At 42.2% G+C, this 23,029-nt stretch overlaps 1 protein-coding gene and 1 pseudogene across 6 annotated transcripts in view; both read left to right on the top strand.

The window, feature by feature from the left end:
- Positions 1 to 23,029, top strand: part of NR6A1 (nuclear receptor subfamily 6 group A member 1) — a 254,037-nt gene that overhangs the window by 165,692 nt on the left and 65,316 nt on the right. For 2 of the 6 annotated variants that reach the window (XM_047423226.1, XM_005251918.6), the window contains exon 1: positions 9,745 to 9,871. The exons of the other annotated variants lie outside the window; for them this stretch is intronic. In XM_047423226.1, the coding sequence (XP_047279182.1) occupies positions 9,856 to 9,871 (16 nt within the window). In that variant the 5' untranslated portion in view covers positions 9,745 to 9,855. Of the gene's footprint in view, positions 1 to 9,744; positions 9,872 to 23,029 lie in introns of those variants that run through there. 6 annotated transcript variants of the gene reach the window in all.
- Positions 5,944 to 7,062, top strand: LOC100419284 (RAN binding protein 1 pseudogene; annotated as a pseudogene).

The raw sequence follows: 23,029 nt of genomic DNA, 5'->3' as shown, positions 1-23,029 counted from the left end.
TTGTTTGTTTATTTGGTGTTCTTTTGTTTTTGTTTTTTGAGGCAGAGTCGTGCTCTGTTGCCCAGGCTGGAGTGCAGTGATGCGAGGGTTTTTTGTTTTTAAGAGACAGACTCTCACTCTTGCTCTGTCACCCAAGCTGGAGTGGCTGGAATGCAGTGGCATGATCACAGCTCAGTGTAGCCTAGAACTCCTGGCTCAAGTGATACTCACGCCTCTCAAGTAGCTAGGACTACAGGCACATGCATCACCACACCTGGCAAATTTTTTGTAAAGATGGATCTCACTTTGTTGCCCAGGTTAGTTTTCCTAATCTGTAGATTTTCTCCTCCATCTTTTTTCCCCCTCTAAGTTGAGACGTTGGTGGTTTGTCTTGCTGAATTTACCACACCCAGATATTGCCGATTACATCCTTGTAATGTAGATGAATGTGTTATTCTGAACTTTGTAGTTCTTTTATTTTAGAAGATGGATATAGAGACTTAGTCAACTTCAAGCCTTCAGATCCAACATTTTTGGCAAGACTACTTCATGGGGGTGTTGAGTTCTTCCATCAGAAGATATGTACTGTCTTGTTCTTTCTTTTTGTAATGGTTAGCAGCGTTTGATGATTGGTATCTAGGATCTATTATTTCACGGTGTTATTCTAATTCCAGTATTTCTTGTTTGTTTATCCTCTGGAATGCTTCTATAAAGAAATTTGTCCATAGCTGTTTATTACCCTGTGGTATAATTCATCTAGGAAAGGCAAGATAAATACTGATTTTTCCCCTTAATATTTTTTTCATTTTAAAAATTATTTTTTTTTTGAGACAGGGTCTTGCTCTGTCACTCAGGCTGGAATGCAGTGACACGATCTCTGCTCACTGCAACCTCTGCCTCCCGGGGCTCAAGAAGCAATCCTCCCATCTCAGCCTCCTTAATTGCTGGGACCACAGGCGTGCACCACCACACCCAGCTAATTTTTTGTATTTTTGGTAGAAACGGGGTTTTGCCATATTGCCCAGGCTGGTCTTGAACTCCTGGACTCAAACGATCTACCCGCCTCAGCGTCCCAAAGTGCGGGGATTACAGGTGTGAGCCACTGTGCCCTATTTAATAATTTTTAAGTGATGCTCAAATTATCCCATCTTTGTTTAGTAAATACCTCTTCAGGGTAGCTGATTCAGCTACTTTTGAGGGGGTAGAAAAGACAGGATTTATGACAGGTTGTATGTGGGTATAGTCAAAGAGGAGGAAGGAGCCATGGAAAGAGTGCCAGGTTTTTGGCTTGGGTGGTTGATGCCTTTCACTGAACAGGGGGGCCAGAGAGAGGAACAGAGTTTTAAAGGAAGACAAGTTTGGACTTGTCTGAGGTGCTTATGATGGATACATCTAGGTGGAGGTGCCCAGGAGGCAGTTGGATATCAGGATGTGAGATTCAGGGGAGCAGTTCCTGACTCCAGGACCTAGGATAAGGCTCAGTTGCTGAGTGTAGTTGACTCAGATTGGGATTATGTGCGTTATTTCTTGTTGGATAAAAATGGATTCCTTTGCCATCAGGAGCCAAGTTCTACCCTAAAGAAAGACTGCGTAAGCCCTCATTGTCCTTTCTTTTACCTATGCCTATCCTTAGAGAGTTCAATTTTTAGTAGAGTGGAAAGGGATAGAACTGGTGCAGGTAGGATTGCCACTTGCTGATTTGCAACTGATCTTGTCAGATTTATTACAGCCAATCCCTCAATTAGAGGAGAGCTCTGTGTATGGGTAAGATTTGCTGGAGTTGGAATTGGGACTGGGAAAACTGGTTTTGGCTTTGCGGGAATGGCTGGCCTAAGGTGGTCTATTTGTATTCCTGAAGGTTTTTTTTCCCCCTTTCCTATGTTGCTGCTTTCTGAAGCAGCTCCTTTCCTTCCTTTCTTCAGTCAACAAATATTCAAGCACTGGAGATACACTGGTTGGCAAAAATATGGGGCACAGTCCTTGGTCTCATATTTCGGAATCCAGTGACGGATACATATGTTATATATGTTAATCAAAAGATCGTCAGCAACAGGTGGTTCTACACTGATGCAGGAACCCAGCAAATGACATATTGATCAGGAACCTTTGACTACCAGTACCAGCCCTTCATTGTTGGAAGATTTAGTCTCAGGTAGGCTTCTAAATCAGAAAATGTATATTTAACACAGGGCCTGAAACATGGGAGACTCTGAAGTAGAGTTTGTCTAGGGGAAAAAACCTGTCGTGAGGTAAGATGAAAGAGTTAGAAAATGTGAAAATGAAGAAGAATATGAATGCACTATTAAGAAATTCAACAGAAGAACTGTACCCCACCCACACAACACACACACCTCTCGAGGAGCCATCTAATTGCTTTAATGTATTATGAAAGCCTTTTAAATACTAAACTGAAGACAGCCCTGGGCTTGACTCTTTGGAGTACATGAGATTAATAAGAAAGGATAGAATTGTAAAATAAAAATACTACGTGATGAGTAATGTCGTAGTATATTTTAGGGATCCAGGCAGAAGGGAAGAAGGGTGCGATTTGACTTTGAGTTTAAGTCTGGGAGAATGGAGTCTTAAAATATTTTACAGAGGAGGTGATTTTTAAATTGAGTCCAGTAAGATTAGTAAGTGGGAGTGGAAACTATAAGGAAATAGTGAAAAGAGTTATTCCAGGCAAATGGAATAGCTTAGTATAATATTTGCACTATAAGTAAGTGGGTCAGCATGGCTGGAGTAATGGGTACTTAAGAGGAGTGGTGGGAAATGAAGCTGGAGAAGTCAGGAAGAGCTGGGTTATAGAGGGAGGGCCTTAGGAGTGTGGGCCTTTATACCATAGGTTCCTGGGAACCACTGATGGGACTCAATGAGATCATGCCACACTTAATGGGGGCATTTTATCTTGCCTTTTCCCAGAATTCTCACGTAGAACTGAGTTCTTTTTAGATAGAAGTCTTTTCCTATATCATCTGACGTTGTCTCTAGGTCAGGTAGATGGATGTATGAACAAATGAAACAACCAGAGAAGTGAGGGCTGAAACCAGAGTTGGCTTGGAAAAACTAACCTTCAAGTGGTCTACCTTTATAGGAGCACCAAAGGAGAAAGCCTGTCACTTTACTCTGCCCCCAAGTTTGAGACTTGCTTTGTACAACTTTGATCTTTTTTTACTTCAGCTTCACATGTTGCTTAACAGCAGTTTGAGCTGTTGCTGTGTTCAGGGCTAGAGTATTTATTTGCATTAATCTCTGGGCCAATCTGGGTCTTGAGAAGAAGGTAAACAGTCACGGGTGCCAAATGTGATGAATAAGTCCCAACTTGTTTAGACCTCTCAGGAGACAAAATAGTTGACTGCGTTTATATTTATATGCTCTGTATCTGATTCCTTTGTTTTCATTCAAAAAGGACTTATTTATTCATGTTATAATCTGTTCTTGATTGGGATACTTTAAAAATTCATGGATAAAATCTTGACTGGGGAATTGTGAGAAATTTTAAATGGAGGAAAAGCTCACCTTTTCCAGGTTCCTCAGTTCGCAGGTAGGAAACTTACCTAATTAAATGTCTTACACATATTTAAATTTCCTGGATTGTCCCAAAAATGTCTTTTTACAATTATTTGGTTCAAATCAGGATCTAAAAGTACATATATTGCATTTGGTTGTTAACACAAGGCTGTTCTTTTTTTTGAGACAGGGTCTTGCTCTGTCACCCAGGCTGGAGTGCAGTGGCGTGATCACAGTTCACTGCAACCTCCCAGGCTCAAGCAACCCTCCCACCTCAGCTAGGATAGCTTGGGCTTCAGGCGTGTGCCACCATAATGGCTAATTTTTTTTTTATAGAGACGGGTCTCCCTATGTTTCCAAAGCTGGCCTTGAACTCCTGAGCTCAAACGATCCACACACCTCTGCCTCCCAAAGTACTGGGATTACAGGTGTGAGCCACCTTGCTGAGCCTATGTAAGCATACTCTATATATGCTTTATATATATAGTCTATATATAGTCTTTTTTTTTCTTTTCTTTTCTTTTTTCTTTCTTTTTTTTTTTTTTTTGACACAGAGTCTCCCTCTGTCGCCCAGGCTGGAGTGCAGTGGCACCATCTAGGCTCACTGCAAGCTCCGCCTCCCAGGTTCACGCCATTCTCCTGCCTCAGCCCCCCGAGTAGCTGGGACTACAGGCGCCCGCCATGACGCCCGGCTAATCTTTTGTATTTTTAGTAGAGATGGGGTTTCACTGTGTTCGCCAGGATGGTCTCGATCTCCTGACCTTGTGATCCACCCACCTTGGCCTCCCGAAGTGTTGGGATTACAGGTGTGAGCCACCACACCTGGCCAGTCTTTTTTGTTTGTTTATTTGTTTTGAGACAGAGTCTCGCTCTGTCGGCCAGGTTAGAGTGCAGTGGCGTGATCTCTGCTCACTGCAACCTCCGTCTCCGGGGCTCAAGCAATTCTCCTGCCTCAGCCTCCCAAGTAGCTGGAATTACAGGCGTGTGCCACCATGCCTGGCTAATTTTTGTATTTTTAGTAGAGATGGGGTTTCACCATGTTGGCCAGGCTGGTTTTGAACTTCTGACCTCAGGTAATCCACCCGCCTTGGCCTCCCAAAGTGCTGGGATTGCAGGCGTGAGCCACCGCATTTTTTTTTTTTTTCTTAAAGCACACTCTGTAGTCTTTTTTTTTTTTTTCCCCCACAGCCAGTCATATTACTCTTTTACATAGCATTGGCATTACAAAATCTTTTGAGATCGTCTTTATTCCTTCTCCTTCTTCCTTCAGGTCTTGAAATACCTTTCCTACTTGTCTGCCTGTGGAACTTCAAGGTTCAGCCCAAATGTAATGCCCTCTCTGGCACCTCAGTCTGTTCTAATGAATTGCTTCTTCATCTTTGTTTCTCCAACACTTTTCTTACCCACTTTAGTTACAGTACTCATAACATCATACTGTCATTTATCTGTTTAGTGTATGTGCACTGCTTGTGAGTTAGTATGGAGTGGTGAGAAATAAGGTTGGAGGTCAGCAGATGATGAGTACTTCTAGGGCAAGGATCACATAATATTATTTTATGTCATCATAGCCAGCATAGTGCCTAGCTCATAGGAGACACTCCATGAGTGTTTGTAGAATTGGATTTTTAAAACCTGGTTTCTGGAATATTTTATTTTAGTTTCCAATCCTTGAGTTTTTTCCTGAACTATGAATTCTTTCCACCTCCAGGAGTTGAAGGCATAACTGGAAATTGTATCCAAGGATGTTCTTAGTTGCTCTCATTCTTTCTCCACTCTCAGGAACTTTGCTTCTTAGTCCCAGATAATATGGACTTCATTTGACTGTGATTTCATTATTCCTATTTAGTTGAATTAAACTCTTTCCCTTGCCATAGGGAATGTCTGTATCAAGGATCTGACAGATGAGAACCAGAGATCTTGGGCTCTTGTTTTTTGTTTTAACCTCTGTAAGTTTAAAAAGGAATTTGAAACATTTTCTGCATGCTCCTGATTTTCTAAAATGGATACAAGTCCCTCTCCTTGAGAATGGTCACCGGGCTTTCACTTTGCATCAGACATTCATTGAAAGGTTCTTAAAAACAAATAAGGCAGAAATGATTCTAGTGATCATGTGGCCACTAGATTTGCTGTCTTTTGTTTTACACTGAAGAACTAAACTTACCCCTTCAGCCTCAAAATCTGCAGTCATCTTTGAGAGCGTCTATTTGAATAAACATATGGGAAATGGTGTTAAGAACATCTCAAAAGAGGCTTTGCCTTTTCCTGTCCTCAAGATACGTGGTTTAGTGGAAGAAATGGAGGACTAGGATATTTTATTTTCTTCTCTATTGGTCTGATGACTCCTGCCTCTTCCTTTCTTTGAGCTTCATTCAGTTTGTCCATCTTTAAAATGAAAGTGGAAACAATCTCTTGGTGGTTAACTAAGGTTCTGCCATTCATAATTTGGACTTCATGGCCAGACGCAGAGGGAAGGAGCTACGAGTAGTCGCCGAGAGGCCGCGGAGCCGGCGACGACCGACTCAGCCGAGCGGCCGCCGCCGCCGCGCCCTCATGGCGGCTGCCACGGACACTCAGGAAGACCACGATACTTCCATTGAGAATGAAGACGAGTCCAACCATGACCCTCAGTTTAAGCCAGTAGTTTCTCTTCCTGAGCAAGAAATTTTAAAACGCTGGAGGAAGATGAAGAGGAACTTTTTTTTTTTTTTTTTGAGACCATGTATCGCTTTTGTCGCCCAGGCTGGAGTGCAATGGCGCCATCTCGGCTCACTGCAACCTCCGCCTCCCGGGTTCAAGCGGTTCTCCTGCCTCGGGCGCCCGCCGCCACGCCCAGCTATTTTTTGTATTTTTAGTAGAGATGGGGTTTCACCATGTTGACGAGACTGGTCTCAAACTCCTGACCTCAGGTTATCCACCCGCCTCAGTCTCCCAGAGTGCTGGGATTACAGGAGTGAGCCACCGCCCCCGGCCAAAGAGGAACTTTTTAAAATGGGGGCGAAACTGTGATTTGCCGCAGAGAACCGTCTCCTAGAATGGAACGAGCGAGGCACTGGTGACGTCAAGCTCCTGAAGCACAAGGAGAAGGGGACCACCCGCCTCCTCATGAGGAGGGACAAGACCCTGAAGATTTGTGCCAACCACTACACGCCAATGGTGGAGCTGAAACCCAACGTGGGTAATGACCATGCCTGAGTCTGGAACGACGAGTGCCCCAAGCCAGAGCTGCTGGCCATCCGCTTCCTGAATGCTGAGAATGCACAGAAATTCAAAACAAAGTTTGAAGAATGCAGTAAAGAGATTGGAGAGAGAGAAAAGAAAAGATCCGGCAAAAAAGCGATCATGCCGAAAAAGTGGCGGAAAAGCTAGAAGCTCTTTCGGTGAAGGAGAAGGGAGAAGACCAAGGAGGATGCTGAGGAGAAACAATAAATCGTCTTATTTTTTTCCTCTCTTTCCCTTCCTTGTTTTTTTTTTTTTTTTTTTTTTAATTTTACTCTGCCCCTCTTTTTTGGTTTGTTTTTATTTGATTTCATTTTTACAAAAGGCCGTTATATAAAGAACAAAATTTAAAAATAATAATTTGGACCCCATTAGATTTGCAGTATGCAAATGCTACGTATGTTTGGATTTAGAATTTTGTTTATCTACTTTTTTCCCACATTTCAAAGCTAGTATTAGCAAGTAGAAAATGTTGATTTCCTGTTTTCTCTCTCCTTCCCACTTATAAATTCCAGTACTGTTAATCTTAAATGATTTTTCTTCTTCTTCTTTTTTTTTTTTTTAAGTAGGGACGAGGTCACTCTGTTGCCCAAGCTGGAGTGCAGTGACTATTCAGAGGCCACAATCATAGCGCACTGCAGCCTCAAACTCCTGGCTTCAAGCCATCCTCCTGCCTCAGCCTCCTGAACAGCTGGGACTACTGGTGTGCACACCCATCCCCAGCTAAACAATCTTACTTGGAGGCGTAGTTAAAAATTAGTGTTTAGGCCGGGTGTGGTTGCTCATGCCTGTAATCCCAGCACTTTGAGAGGTTAAGGCAGGTGGATCACTTGAGCCGAGGAGTTCAAGACCAGCCTGGGCAACATAGACTCCCATCTCTACCCAAAATTTTTACAAATTAGCCAGGCGTGGTGGTGCGTGCCTGTAGTCCCCTGTAGTCCCAGCTACGTGGGAGGCTCATGCGGGAGGATTGCTTGAGCCCTGGTGGAGGCTGCAGTGAGCCATGATTGCACCACTGCACTCCAGCTTGTGTGACAGAGCGAGGCCCTGTCTCAAATAAAAAAATAAATAAGATTTAGAGTTCATCTTTTGCATTCACATGGGCAGTGTGGTGTCTGTTCATCTTCTCTCGCCTCTTCCAGTAGAGTCTATAAAGTGCTCTCAAAAAACTTGTGGGACTGAGAATGCTGAAGAAATGTGGCTCTATATCCAAAGATGAAACTTAATTGTCTCCTTAAGCTATGTTAAAGATTTGTTCTCAGGCTTATGGGTGCATCAAGGATTGTTAGTTGGACTCACCTTGAAAATCAAGGCGTCTGCTTCAGTCTTGGTAGCAGAAGTTAGACTAATAGCTCCTTATTCATCTTTTCCTCCAAAAGTTGGTGCAGTAAAGCACAGAGGCTTACTACACCTCTGTTGTGTGCAGATATTTAGTTCTAATAAATCCATATCCTTAAGGGAGACAGAGAGCTGCCCTTTGTTTCCAGTTGAGTAGCTTTTTGCTAGTGGACCTTCCCCTTCCATTTTTTCCACCCTCATTCTATTTGTAGTCACTTTACTAAAATCATTTAAGAACTACGTTAAATCCACAGGGACTGAGAAGAAAATATTAATCTATGGGGTTGGGGTGGGGGGTGGGAAAGCTGGTCAGTGTATTTATGATGGGGTAAAGTGTGTCATGGCAGTGGCAGAATATTTATTTTTAGACAAATTACAGCCTTTTTCCTCGTCTAAATCATTGGTCACTTTCTCTTTAGGCTCTACTTTGTAAGATGACCCTAATGCTCTCTGTTGGTTAGAAAAGCCCTCTAGTAATGGTAGTAGCAATATTTGCCATTCAGTTATATGGCTGCTAAGTGACAGATTCCAGTCCTACTCCAAGAAGGGTCTCCTTTTTCTGGAATACAGCTGTAAAGTGTGCATAGCCTTTAAGTTATTCCTAAAGCTAAATTGGCAGGGGAGATTTCATAGAATGAAACATTTTACACAGTTAAAAAGCATTTATCCTCAGAAATCAGTTTCTCTTGGGGACATTCCACCTTCTTAGTGGAGCTTGCCCTTTTATTGTGTCCTGATATTTGAATGTTTAGCTGAATGTTTGACATCATGTGCCATTAGCACGTGGCTCCAATTTGCCAGCCTTTGGGGTACTGTGGTAAGGTATGAGTGTGTATGTGCACACTCGGTGTTATACACTCTGCTGCGTGCTGCTGGTGTGGTTCATGAATCAGGGAAGCTATAGCATGATGATTGTTTAAGATCTTATGAGTTTTAGGGGAATGAAGCAAGAAGCTTAGTTTGAAGGTGTAAACTTTTGGCTGAGGGTAAGGATTGGGGGTGGTGAAATTAGTAACTTTTGCTTTGTAAAAGGATTTTGCAGACCTAGTTTCCTTTCTCCAAACTAATATGTATAACCAGAGCATTCTTGCATTCTTTCAAACTAGTATAGATAACCAGAGCATGGAAATGAAGGGCTAGAGTTAAAGTAAGCCCTGCAAACAACTCTTAGCTCTGTGTATTAATTTTCTTAGAGGAATTTGCCTTGTCATTGTTTATTGTAATGACAGAAAACAGGGAATCCCACTTCTGCACGCCCCCCATACCCCCCAGAAAAACCCTACATACCTAACATTGAGTTTCCGTTTTGTCTTTTCCTTAGACCGAAAGGTTTTGGCTTTAAATTTTCTAACCCAGTCTGGAAGACTATAGCATAGAATAGTTCTTGAAAAAAAAGAAGAAAAGCCCCACATACCAGAACCCTTTTAAATAAATTCTTTTAAAATGCTGCCTTTTAATTTTAGGATCTTAGCTTAAAGAAGACTGGAGGAGAATTTCCCATGAAATGGTTCCCATAATAGTTTTCAGAAAGACGTGCTAGGCAGTATTGTTAACTAAAGAAAATAAGTCTATCAGTTCCACTTAGATAACCTTTGGTAATAAACGAACTCCGTACACGTTGTGACCTTAGAGCCTGAACTTTGCAATCACATGACCAGCTTGTAAACTGACCTGTGAGGATGACTGTCGTAGTCCCGGCTTAGAGGAATTGACCAAGTGTCGGAAGGGTAGTCATCAAGCTGGACTTGTCCTGTAATCTCTGTTTCTTCATGGCTGCAATAGAACTTTTCAGCAGACTACAAGAAGCATGAAATGGAGACATGGGAAGGTAAGGAACAGTCTGGGGCCCAAATCTAAGGGTTAGAAATTTTCTTTGAAGGTTTAGAGCAAATAGCCTTGAGGGAGAAGGGAGGCAGTCCACAGGCAACTGTTTTTTTTGTGTCTTCGCAGAGTTCAGCTAGAAAGTTTTCATGTATGTAGCAAGTGGCTGTAAATGTTTTGGAATGGAGAAAAGTGAGAGAGAACTGCAGTGAATTCATTGTTGTGGTTGATGAAGAGCAGAAGAAAGGGGATTAATTTAAATTTTATAGTGATTTTAAAAAAATTAAATATACGTGTCAGTACATAGATAAAATTTACATTAAAAATTGTTGTTTATTTCTTGACAGATGTTGTTTGTATTTTAAATTCCTTAATCCAGTTCGCTATCTGCCAAAGTCTTATTTACTACTGTTAATTATAGATAGAATTGGGGTCATGAGGCCATTGATAAGGCAACCTCATCCTCTGGTAGGGAGCTTCTATACTTTACAGTTTGGGATATAAGACTAAGCCATTGCTAATTTCTTTTTAAGTGGGTTGCTTTTTAAATGGGTACATTTTCTGCATGTGTGTGTATGTAATGAATAGTCACTAGTGTTATAACTTGTTTATTTGGGATAGTCTCCTAGTTATGTGAGAAACCCCACTTTTCCACAACTTTATTATTTAGGCCAGGAAAGACACATACAGCTGAAGGAACAGATAAAATGGATGAATGTTAGTATTAAAGTTTTGCCATGTTTATGAAGTACAAGCTAAGAGTTTGCAAGAGTTTGGTTTTCTTAAAGGCAAGCACTACTGAGAAGAGTTCCCGACTCTTTGAAGCAGTTGATAAATTTCTAGGACTGGCATTAACCCTACGAAATAGCTGGTCCTGGGAAAGCTTCCCAGCCTCTTGCAGCGTGGCTAACATCTGCCAAAGGCAGCTTTGCAGTTTCATTCTCACTCTGGGGATGCACAAACCAGGGAAGTGGGACCCCCTCTGATAATAGCATTCTTCTTTTTAGTAACCTTGGCTTCATTCCTCCCTTATATGTTGTACCCCAGCACCTTACATGCCAGAATTATTGGTTTTTAGTGCAAGTTAGCAGAAACAAGAGAAAGTTTGTAGAAAATACCAGTTATATATAAGGCCTGTTATTTATCTTGAACAGCCTCCTCCCCCAGTATGCATAGAAATTCTTTGTTAAACTATCCTGGATATACTAGCTTTTCCAGAAAGGAGTAGTTTAAGAAGTAAGATTTGCTTTGGATCTGTTGGACAGGAGTTTAGGAGCTGGCAGAGTCCCAGAGCAGTAATTACATGAGTTTAGAAGGGATGACTCTGGAGAATTTAGATTTTTTTTCGACGAGCTTGAGTCTCTTAGTGATATGTAGTCTGCTAGCTCTGAAAGAGAAAAAAGGTTTGCACAGAAAGTTCTCCCCTGGTTCATATTTAAGTTTTGAAACTTCAGTTCTTCTTAGTCATTCAACTGCAGAAAATAACTTACGGTACCAAAACAAGAACTTTCATAAAATAAGGAAATGAATTTAAAATTGTTCACCTAGATCTTTCATTGAAAATTCTAATAAAGCAAAATGAATGATCCCAGTTGTAGGAGGTTTTGGAATCTTAAGAGGCAAAATCAACTGCTTACAAAAGAGGTCAGTGAAAATGCTACTGTAAAAAAAGCATTGCCTGGTTTTAGATATTGGGCCCTTGTCCATTTAAATTAACCTTTGTCACAGCTGGGCATACAAATGTTTTGTTTTAGTTCACAGAGGGTTAACTCTATTCAAGCTTTCACTGTGGCAGGCCTGATCTGTGGAGTCATACAATCTGGTCTTTCAGCCCTGCCAGTCGCTAGGCAGGAAGTCTTATTTCTTAAGCTATCTTTCAGAATGGGGGTTGGGATTTGGAGAAAGGTGGGGGAAGGGCTTTGGAGCATCTGTAAGGATCAATAACAGAGAGAGAGAGAGAGCCGTAAGAGAGGCCATTGTGCACACTTCAAGATAGATGCAGCCCTTGTGCACAGCCCCTGCCTGGCAGGACAGACACCTAAAACCAAAACAATGACACCGAATGAATTCTCTGTGAAAATTAGATTGCCGCTTAAAGGAGAAAAATACTTGAGTGCCCTTTCAACGTTGGGGAATATTCTCATTCCTCAACTTGCAAAGATTAGGCAACCCCCACTAAAAATAACTCCAAATTGATTTTTAAATGCCTTTTGTCCTCATGCTAATACTGTATTGAATTGGAGAGGGTGATCATTTGGGTCTTGGTCACATGCATCAAAGCATTGAGTAAGTAATCTTTTTTCTTCTCTCTCTCCCCCTCTCTGCTCTCTTCCTCCCTCCCTTTTTCTCTTCTTTTTTATTCTAATGTTTGCTTTACCCTGTTGGTTTTGGAGGCATCATTAAGGGAATGAAAAAACTAAGATTTGGTTAGGATTTGAGTAACACATGTGCGAAATCCCTCCCCGAACAGCTGGTATTGGCTCTCGAAACTTCAACTGAGCTAAACAGATGTTCCTAGTGTGTTATTTTGAGATAATTTAAACCAGACTTATAGTCAAGAACTCTACAAAAATTGTAGATTTGATTTTTAAATGCACTAAAGTTGTGATATCGTGCCACATCTTAATACATGTTATATGGGTGTTAAGCAAAAACACCTGAGCTTGGGAAAGTGAGCAGTTCCGCCAATGAAATTGTGATATTTAAAACACTACCAAGTTTGTTATTCTTTTACTCCAGCCCAGATTTTCATTTTTCAGATTCCCCTTTCCCAAACCCTGTAACATTCCTGTTTTACTGTATCCTTTTCCAGAGGACTAAGGCATTAATTCATTAGGTACTTTCTTGATGCAAATTCTTTATGGCATTTGGAAAGAGTAATGGAGTCATTGCCACCTTTCTTCTACTAAACTTCCAAAGTACTGGTGACAACTGACTGGTAACAGCTGAGAAAAATGGAATCCTAAACAGCCTTAAATAGTCTTCTCCCAACTTGAAATCTTCCAGGAATAAATGCATAAATGAACTGGGGGTCCATAATGTGGCTTGCAGACAGACAAATGGAATAAGGGGAGGCGGGGAGACCTGCGCTTGAAATTAGCAAGTTTAGTTTATTCTAGGCTTCTTGAGTTGAAAACTGACATAATCTGGACAATTTTGAGGCTAGGAAAAATATCTGGATGCCTCACATCATCTGGATATTTTTAACCCATCTCTAATCGGTACCCTTTTGCTGGGGAAAATGATGTACAGGAAGAAAATCTGATTTAATCACCGCAAACAGTACCTCCTTGACACAATTGATTCTGCCCCTCTGATATATTGTAATTCTCCATTAATATTTAAACCAAAGAATCGATTATTTTAATGGACATTTTCCATGGACATACAAATATTACTAACAAAACTTGGAAATTCAGTTACCATTTCCGTTGTGTTAAAATGGGGTATGAAACCTACCATGACCCTTTTGAACAATGTGGTCTTTAATGTGTATTAGGGGGAGGGCCTAGTGAAGGAAAAGCCATAAAAGTCCTCAGGGTTCAAGATGAGGTTGGGATTTTGGCCCATTGCTTTTGTCATTTTCACACACAAACATCGCTGCAATCATGTTTGATTTAGCATCCTTAATACAATGAGGTGGGAGAACAAAAGGATATCAGAGGCACAAATATGGCAACCAAACAATCTCCCACCCCGCGACCACCAATTTTTTCACATCATTCGTTTTTTTCTGTTCCCCTGCTACTGGGGTTTCTTTTTAAGCCGAGGAAATTAATCTATTTGCAAGAATCTTCTTTTTGCATGCCTCAGTAGTTTGCTTGGGCAATTGAAAAGCTACATCTCAAATGGTTTTTAGCTGTGTGAAAAGTCATTTCCTAAAAACTTGGGGAAAACGCTATAATTAGGAAAAATGCATCTACCCATATTTCAAGGTTAAGAGTTGGTCAGGGTGTGTGGTGGGGGGTGGGGGAGGTGTTCACACTGCACAGCTGTTTTACATATTTTGAAAAGCCTGATAGATGTAAAGGTCATTGCTAACTCTAACAGGGTCTTGATGCTCACACTGTGATCCAAGGACCTTGCATTAATTAGGATGAGAAGCATGGAAGGTCAGGAGTCAACCGGCTGGTGAGCCTCGATGGATTGTTAGTGGGACCAATCAGAATTCCTGTAGGATTTTTAAACCATTAAAACAAAAAAACAAAAACTACTGCTGCTTCTGTTGCCTCTGGATGGATCCCTTGGTCTGTGTGGCAAGGACTCGTCCCCTGTTGCCCAGATGGCTCATAAAAACTTGGCTACGTATATGGCTTTGCTACAGGCTTCCTGGTGTTGGAGAAAGAACCTCATCAGCTTGACTCTGTCACTTGGCCAAGTCACTTGACCTCTATGAACCTCAATTTCCTTATATATGCAACAGAGGATAGTAATACCTATCTCACAGGACCGCTATGGGAATTAAATAAGAAAACTGTCAAGAGTGCCCAGAACATGCTTAATGTGGCTTGAATTGAAATGAGTTTCAAAGAGGAGCAAATTTAGGGAAATTAAGAAAAAGAGAATTCTTGGGTGAGCCTATGGCTGGTGGTGTTTATACTCTAAGGTCTCCAGGGAGTGCCTCCATTCGGTAAGCAACAATAAGGGAGGGGCTCTTTGGAAATTTAGCCTTGAAAATGCTGTACAACCAGTGGGGCCAGCTGCTGAGCCTTCTAGAACCAATTGCAGTGTTAATATGCTATTCCTGTGGTAGTGATAATTAGTCATGAATGGGTCCCTGCAAAATTTCTGGCCTTTTCTCTACAGAAAGTCTTTTACAGTTCTGTTGATTGGAAGAAAATGGAGAGGGGGATGGGCTTTAAGGTAACAGAGATGTTAAATCATAACCAGGAAAAGAAGGATAATAAAGTTAGTCTTAATTTCCTGTGTTTTGATAGATAAATAGATGCCAAGACAGTTGCCATGACCATGTTTGATAGCCCTTTCTCAGGAGCTTTACTGTGAAGTAGTGAAGTTGGGAATGTTGTTAGCATGCTAATCATTGCCTTACTAACTTTGGAGTTGTCAACCTCTCTGCCTTCTGGGTTCAGGGGTTATATCAATGGCTTGTTATTCTAATCTCTGTATATAAAATTATTATGCAGCTAACATTCATGAAGTATTTACTATTTTCTAAGCACTAGGAACAGAGGTGAGTTAGAATTCCTCACCTAAACTACAGATCTCCTTTTTGATCTACAAAGAAGGAAAAATAGTTTTAATGTTGCTTAACAGATGTTGAATATTCACCACTTAAAAAGTGGAGCTTTTGAGAGTGACTGGGGGAGAAGATGAGCTAGCAGTGGGATTTGCTCTCACTTTGGGGCCCTGTATTTCTTTGAGGGTTTTTGCTTTTTGGGTTTTTTTTTTAACTACTTTTGCTAGGTATTTCTTGTGACTTATTTGCTCTTCCAAATGTATGGCTGCAAAATAGAATATTTTAATATTTTTCTTAACATGGTAAAATTAGAGGCCTGAATTACAATTGGCAAAAATGTAGAGAGAGTCGAAACCTCATTTTTCTGTTTCTCTGTTAGCATCCTATTTACCATTAGCGAAATGTTTTCCTTTCTATGAAGTTTCAGCATGTGGCTTCAGTGTGATGGCTACAGTAGACTAGCTTTGCTTTTTTTTTTTTTTTTTTTTTTTTTTTTTGACAGAGTCTTGCTCTGTCACCAGGCTGGAGAACAGTGGTGCGATCTCGGCTCACTGCAACCTCCATCTCTTGGGCTCAAGCGATTCTCCTGCCTCAATCTCCTGAGTAGCTGGGACTGCAAGCATGCGCCACCACGCCCAGCTGATTTTTGCATTTTTAGTAGAGACGGGATTTCACCATGTTGCCCAGGATGGTCTCGATCTCTTGACCTCATGATCTGCCTGCCTTGGCCTCCCAAAGTGGTGGGATTACAGGCATGAGCCAAGGTGCCCAGCCAGCTTTGCTTTTTAAAGGAGCTAATAAGTTATGGATAACTTATTAAGTATCAGATATATTTATTTATGGTATATTAAATAACCACTGCACAAGAAAATGTATGTTTTAGATATTTGAAAAAAGAAAAAAGCAGACACCATTCCTGTGAGCATTTAATCTCAAAATGTGCACAAGTCAGTGTGGAAAGAAGAGCAATGCAAATGAAAGGCTTGGCAACCAGTAGGTGGTAGCCATCAAGTCTTGGCCTTGGTCATTATTATAAGAGTATGTGTACATGTACACTATCATATGCATTTATGTTTATTTTTTTTATTTTTTATTTTTTGTTTGTTTGTTTTTGAGACGGAGTCTCGCTCTTTCGCCCAGGCCGGAGTGCAGTGGTGCTATCTCGGCTCACTGCAAGCTCCGCCTCCTTGGTTCACGCCACTCTCCTGCCTCAGCCTCCCGAGTAGCTGGGACTACAGGCGCCCGCCACCGCGCCCGGCTAATTTTTTGTGTTTTTAGTAGAGACGGGGTTTCACCGTGTTAGCCAGAATGGTCTCGATCTCCTGACCTCGTGATCCACCCGCCTCAGCCACCCAAAGTGCTGGGATTACAGGCGTGAGCCACCGGCCTGGCCTGTTTTTGTTTTTAACTTTGCCATGAGGTAGTTGTTAATTGCTGCTGACAAGAAAATCTGCTATCCTCGACTCTTTTATTCGACTGGGAGCAGGAAGAGGGAGAGGTGATGATGTGCCACAGTGAGTGTCTTTTCCTGTCACTGGATATAGTCTGGCCATACCATTGTTTGAACCATGAACCAGTTACCTTAAGAAACTGACCATCACATTATACTGTTTTTTTTTTCTTTCTTTTTTTTTTTTTTGAGACAGAGTCTCGTTCTGTCGCCCAGTCTGGAGTGCAGTGGCACGATCTCGGCTCACTGCAAGCTCTGCTTCCCGGGTTCGCGCCATTCTCCTGCCTCAGCCTCCCGAGTAGCTGGGACTACAGGCGCCCTCCACCATTCCCCGCTAATTTTTTGTATTTTTTAGTAGAGACGGGGTTTCACGTTGTTAGCCAGGATGGTGTCGATCTCCTGACTTTGTGATCCACCTGCTTCGGCCTCCCAAAGTGCTGGGATTACCGGCGTGAGCCACCACGCCGGGCCAGGAACCTAGAATATTAACAGTACGACGTGTTCCTGGGTGCAGTGGCTCACGCCTGTAATCCCAGCACTTGGGAGGCCGAAGCGGGTGGATCACGAGGCCAGGAGATCGACACCATCCTGGCTAACAGGGTGAAACCCCGTCTCTACTAAAAAATACAAAAAATTAGCCGGGCGTGGTGGCGGGCGCCTGTAGTCCCAGCTACTCGGGAGGCTGAGGCAGGAGAATGGCGTGAACCCGGAAGGCAGAGCTTGCAGTGAGTGGAGATCGCGCCACTGTACTCCAGTCTGGGCAACAGAGTGAGACTCCATCATGAAAAATTCTAGATCTAGGTTCCTTTAGGATATGTAGAAATTAATTTTCTCTCAGCACTCCTGCTCTTGTCTCCACATGCCATTTGGAATCATACACTAAAACATTTGCCATAGGTTACCAATCTGATGCGAGAGAAAAACCATCTATCATAGAATAGTTTTAGTATGGAAAGTCCATCATATATCATATGCTGACAAGAACTTAGACTCGATTTATTAGTTAGTTAGTTTCACTAACCATTAGTCTTACCAAAGTGAGCACTTTGGAGAATGATAAATGTCTTGTGAGGAGCTGAGGAGAGAGGAGTTCTAGTTTTGTAAAAGTGTTGACTTGAAAGGCTGAGGCAGGAGGATCACTTGAGCCCAGGAGTTCAAGGCTGCATTGAATTATGATCTTGCCATTGCACTCCAACCTAGGCTACAGAGCAAGTGAGACTGTTGGTAGGGAGGGGGGAATTATTGATCCAGCGCCTTAGGGAAGCAGAACCTTTGGTTCTGATGGCTGCGTTAGTAAAGTCATGTGAATGTAATGTGTAAAAGAGTGCTCATTCGCATTGTTGAAGCTTCATAATTTGCGGTCTTAGTGATGAATGCAGACTCCAGCACTTTCTCTGAACATTGTTACATGTGGAAGAAGTTACAAAAGCACTTTCTGGGCAAATAAGAATGGGAATGGCCAATAATGCACACGTCTGTGTTTGGGGCCCATTATTCTGAATCTGGTGAGAATTTTGGAAAAAGTGGCCTTTGGCAAGGTAGTGGGCAACTACATTTTTTACCCTTTTAGAACATCCGGTTTCACTTAAAGCATACTAATTGGTCCTTCTTTCACGAGGGCCTCAGAACTGTGAAGGGACCTAGGGAGCTGATTACTGAGCTTTGAGCATTGGCACAAGGTCTCTGGGCTGGCTCACCAGTTTGTCATCTGGAGTTTTTATAAACTGTGCTTTGATTTGCAAATAGAGAAGCGATAGGCATACCTCAGAGATATTGCGAGTTTGGTTCCAGACCACTACAATAAAGCAAGTCACTCGAATTTTTTGGTTTCTCAGTGCATATAAAAGTTGTGTTTATACTATAGTCTGTTATGTGTGGAGTAGCATTATGTCAGAAAAAAACCCTACATACCTTAACTTAAAAATATTTTATTGCTAAAAAATGCAAACGACCATCTGAGGCTTCAGTGAATCATTTTGCTGCTGTGAGATCTTGCTGCAGTGTTGATGGCTGCTAACTGATCAGGGTGGTGGTTGCTGAAGGTTGGGGGATGGCTATGGCCGTTTCTTAAAATAAGGCAATGAAGCCGATTTTATTGATTGACTCCTCCTTTCATGAAAAATTTCTCTGTAGCATGCGATGCTGTTTAATAGCATTTTATTCACAGTAGAACCTCTTTCAAAATTCATGTCAATCTTCTCAAACCCTGCTGCTGCTTTATCAATGAAGTTAATGTAATATTCTAAATCTTTTGTTGTCATTTTAACAGTGTTCACCAGGAGTAGATTCCATCTACAAAGAAACCTCTTTCTTTGCTCCTCCATAAGAAGCAACTCCTCATCCATTAAAGTTTTATCATGGGCTGGGTGTGGTGGCTTGCACCTGTAATCCCAGCACTTTGGGAGGCCAATGAAGGAGGATTGCTTGAGCTCAGGACTTGGGGACCAGCCTGGGCAACATAGTGAGACCTCGTCTCTACTGAAATTTTAAAAAAAATTAGCTGGGCATGGTGGCGCATGCCTGTAGTCCCAGCTACTTGGCAGACTGAGGCAGGAGGATTGCTTGAGCCCAGGAGATGGAGGCTACAGTGAGCTGTGATTGCACACCACTGCAGTCCAGCCTGGGTGACAGAGTGAGACCCTGTCTTGAAAAAAAAAAAAAAATTATCATGCAATTGCAGCAATTCAGCCACATCTTTAGGATGCACTTCTAATTCTAGTTTCTAGCTGTTGTTCCCACTTCTACATTTACTTCCTCCACTGAAGCCCCTCAAAGTCATCCATGAGGGTTAGAATCAACTTCTTCCAAACTCCTGTTAATACTGATATTTTGACCTCCTATGAGGTCATAAATGTCCTTAATGGCATCTAGAATAGTGAATCCTTTCCAGAAGGTTTTCAAATTACTTTTCCTAGATCCATCAGAGGAATCACTATCTATGGCAGCTATAGCCTTATGATATGTATTTCTTAAATAATAAGACTTGAAAGTCAAAAATTACTCCATGATTCTTGGGCTACAGAATGGATGTTATGTTAGCAGACATGAAAACAACATTCATCTGCTTGTACATCTCCATCAGAGCTCTTGGGTGACCAGATGCATTGTCAATCAGCAGTATTTTTAAAGTTATCTTTGTTTCTGAGCAGTAGGTCTCAACAGTGAGCTCAAAATATTTAGTAAACCATTCTATAAACATACATGCTGTCATCCAGGCTTTGTTGTTCCATTTATAGAACACAGGTAGAGTAGATTTAACATAATTCTTAAGGGTCCTAGGATTTTCTGAATGGTCAGTGAGCATTGGCATCAACTTAAAGTCACCAGCTGCATTAGCTTCTAGCAAGAGAGTCAGCCTATTTTTTGAAGCCAGGCATTGACTTCTCTCTAGCTATGAAAGCCCGTAGATGGTGTCTTCTTCCAATATAAGGCCCCTTCATCTATACTGAACATCAGTTGTTTAGTGTAGCCACCTTCATCGTTGATCTTCTGGATAACTTGCTGCGGCTTCTACATCAGCACTTGCTGCTTCACCTTGCCCCCCCCCCCCTTTTTTTTTTTTTTTGAGATGGAGTCTCGCTGTGTCACCCAGGCTGGAGTGCAGTGGCGTGATCTCGGCTCACTGCAAGCTTTGCCTCCTGGGTTTACACCATTCTCCTGCCTTAGCCTCCCGAGTAGCTGGGACTACAGGTGCCTGCCACCATACCTGGCTAATTTTGTTTTTGTATTTTTAGTAGAGACGGGGTTTCACCGTGTTAGCCAGGATGGTCTCGATCTCCCGACCTCATGATCTGCCTGCCTTGGCCTCCAAAAGTGCTGGGATTACAGGCATGAGCCACTGCGCCTGGCCCACCTTGCACTTTTAAGTAATGGAGACAGCTTATTTCCTTCAACCTCGTGAGCCAACCTCTGCTAGCTTCAAACCTTTCTTCTGCAGCTTCCTCACCTCTCTCAACCATCATAGAATTGAAGAGAGTTAGGGCCTTGCTCTGCATTAGCTTTGGCTTAACAGAATGTTGTGATTGGTTTGCCTTTCCAGAATGTTGTGATTGGTTTGCCTTTCTATCCAGACTACTAAAACTTTGTCCATGTTAGCAATAAGGCTGTTTTTCTTTCTTATCATTTGTGTGTTCACTGGAGTAGCACTTTTAATTTCCTTCAAGAACTTTTCCTTTGCATTCACAGCTTGGCTCTTTGGAGCAAGAGGCCTAGCTTTCGGCTTATCTTTGCTTTTGACGTGCCTTCCTCATTAAGCTTAACGATTTCTAGCTTTTGATTTAAAGTGAGAGACGTGGCTCTTCCTTTCACTTGAACACATAGAGGCCTTTCTAGGGTTATTAACTGGCCTAATTTCAATGTTGTTGGGTTTCAGAGAATGGAGAGGCCCAAGGGGAGAGAAGGAGAGATGGGGGAATGGCTGGTCAGTGGAGCAGTCAGAACACATACAACATTTTTCGATTAAGTTCACCATCTTATTTCGGTGCGGTTCGTGGCACCCCCAAACAATTACTAACATCAAAGATCACTGATTACAGATGACCATAACAGATATAATAATATGAACAAGTTTGAAATATTACAAGACTTACCAAATGTGACACAGAGACACAAAGTGAGCACATGCTTTTGGAAAAAATGGTACTGATGAGACTTCCTTGATGCAGGGTTGCCACAAACCTTCAATTTGTAAAAAATGCAATAAAGTGGCTGGGCGCGGTGGCTCACACTGTAATCCCAGCACTTTGGGAGGCCGAGGAGGGCAGATCATGACGTCAGGAGATCGAGAGCATCCTGCCAACAAGGTGAAACCTCGTCTCTACTAAAAATTCAAAAATTAGCTGGGTGTGGTGGCATACGCCTGTAATCCCAGCTACTCGGGAGGCTGAGGCAGGAGAATCGCTTGAACGTGGGAGGTGGAGGTTGCAGTGAGCTGAGATGCTGAGATTGCGCCACCCACTGCACTCCAGCCTGGGTGACAGAGTGAGACTCTGTCTCAAAAAAAAAAAAAAAAAGCCAAGTGCAATAAAATGATGTATGCTCATGCACTGTTCTTTCATTCAACTGATGTTCACTAGTGATTGCTCTGTGCTTGGTATTGAGCTATGCATTAGGGATACAGAAAAAATAAGACTCTCTCCCTGCCCTGTGATATACCCAAGTCTAGCAGAGGGAAATAGATCCTCACATAAATAAGTGTAATGAAGTGTTCGGGGCATACTGATAGCAATACTGTAGAGTACAGAAGCTGTGCAGAGGGCAGAGTGCTCATTTGTGAGTACAGAAGTTGTGCAGAGGGCTATCAGGTTAGGCCTCACTCAGGAAGTCATCCTGAGAGACTGATAGATGTTTGCCAGGCTGGTGAAGTGGCAAAGGGTCTCCTAAGCAGAGGAGCAGCATGAGCACATGCCTGACAATGTGAAACAACCTGACCGAGTATGCCGTGAGTTCTAAGACTCATATAGGACAGAAGTATTGTTTGGTTCTAGATACAAGGGAAACCCTAGAGAGAACTTTGATCTGTGAGTGGATGCCCCTGCCCCTAAACAGAAGAGAGCCCCCCTCACATTCCTGTCAGTCTTCTTCTGAATATGTTGAAGAGATTAATGTACCTTGCTAGAAAGGAGCACAAGCACAGTTCTGCCTCAGAACTAGAGGCCTAGATGCTGGAGGTTTAACACTTCAAGAAACTGTCCTGGGATTTAGGGAGAGCATGCTATAGCCTTACTTAACCTTGTTACAAATTGCCAGGTACTACAGAGGGAGAGGCCTCGGTTAAGTGGTTGTAAGAAGTTATACTCTGTGAAGGAGTCATCTGTCCTCTAGGGGAGTGTTCCCAACAGAAAGGGAGTCTGTTGTATTTTCTTAATGAATGGAAAAATAGAGTCTGAATATCTTATCCAAACTTTTCCCACTAATTGAAAGGTTTCTTTTGGTTTTCTAGAGCAAGGGGTGGGTGTGGGTGTGGGTGGGTGGGTGCGTGATTTGCTGAGCAATCATTGTATTTTTACTTACATCTTGTGAAATGTTGATTACCTAATGGCCAAAGCATTATAATGTTTTTGGATAGATAATTTGGGGTGCTTTTGTTTTTAACTTCATTGTACAATTAGCATACAGAAAAATTGAGTGCTTTGGGGGGGAAGGGCGTACTCTTCTGTGAATATAGATTTGTGTAATCTCTGTAACCACCTCCACAGTGATGATACAAAACCATTTTCTTTCTTTTTTTCTTTAGAGAGATGGGGTCTTGTTCTTTTGCAGTATGCAATCTCAGCTCACTGCAACCTTGAACTCTTATGCTCAAACAATCCTTTTGCCTCAGCCTCCTGAGTAGCTGGGACTACAGGCACACACCACCATGCCCAGCTAATTTGTTTTCTTTTTAATAGAGATGAGGTCTCACTGTATTGGCCTGGCTGGTCTCAAATTCCTGGCCTCAAGCAGTCCTTCCACCTTGGCCTCCCAAAGTGCTAGGATTACAGGCATGGGCCACTCCACCTGGCCCAGAACCATTTCTT

The sequence above is a fragment of the Homo sapiens genome, chromosome 9, assembly GCF_000001405.40.
Source record: "Homo sapiens chromosome 9, GRCh38.p14 Primary Assembly".
Lineage (NCBI taxonomy): Eukaryota > Metazoa > Chordata > Mammalia > Primates > Hominidae > Homo > Homo sapiens.
Note: the sequence above shows the minus strand (reverse complement) of the source record. Positions and strands in the feature narration are given on the sequence as shown.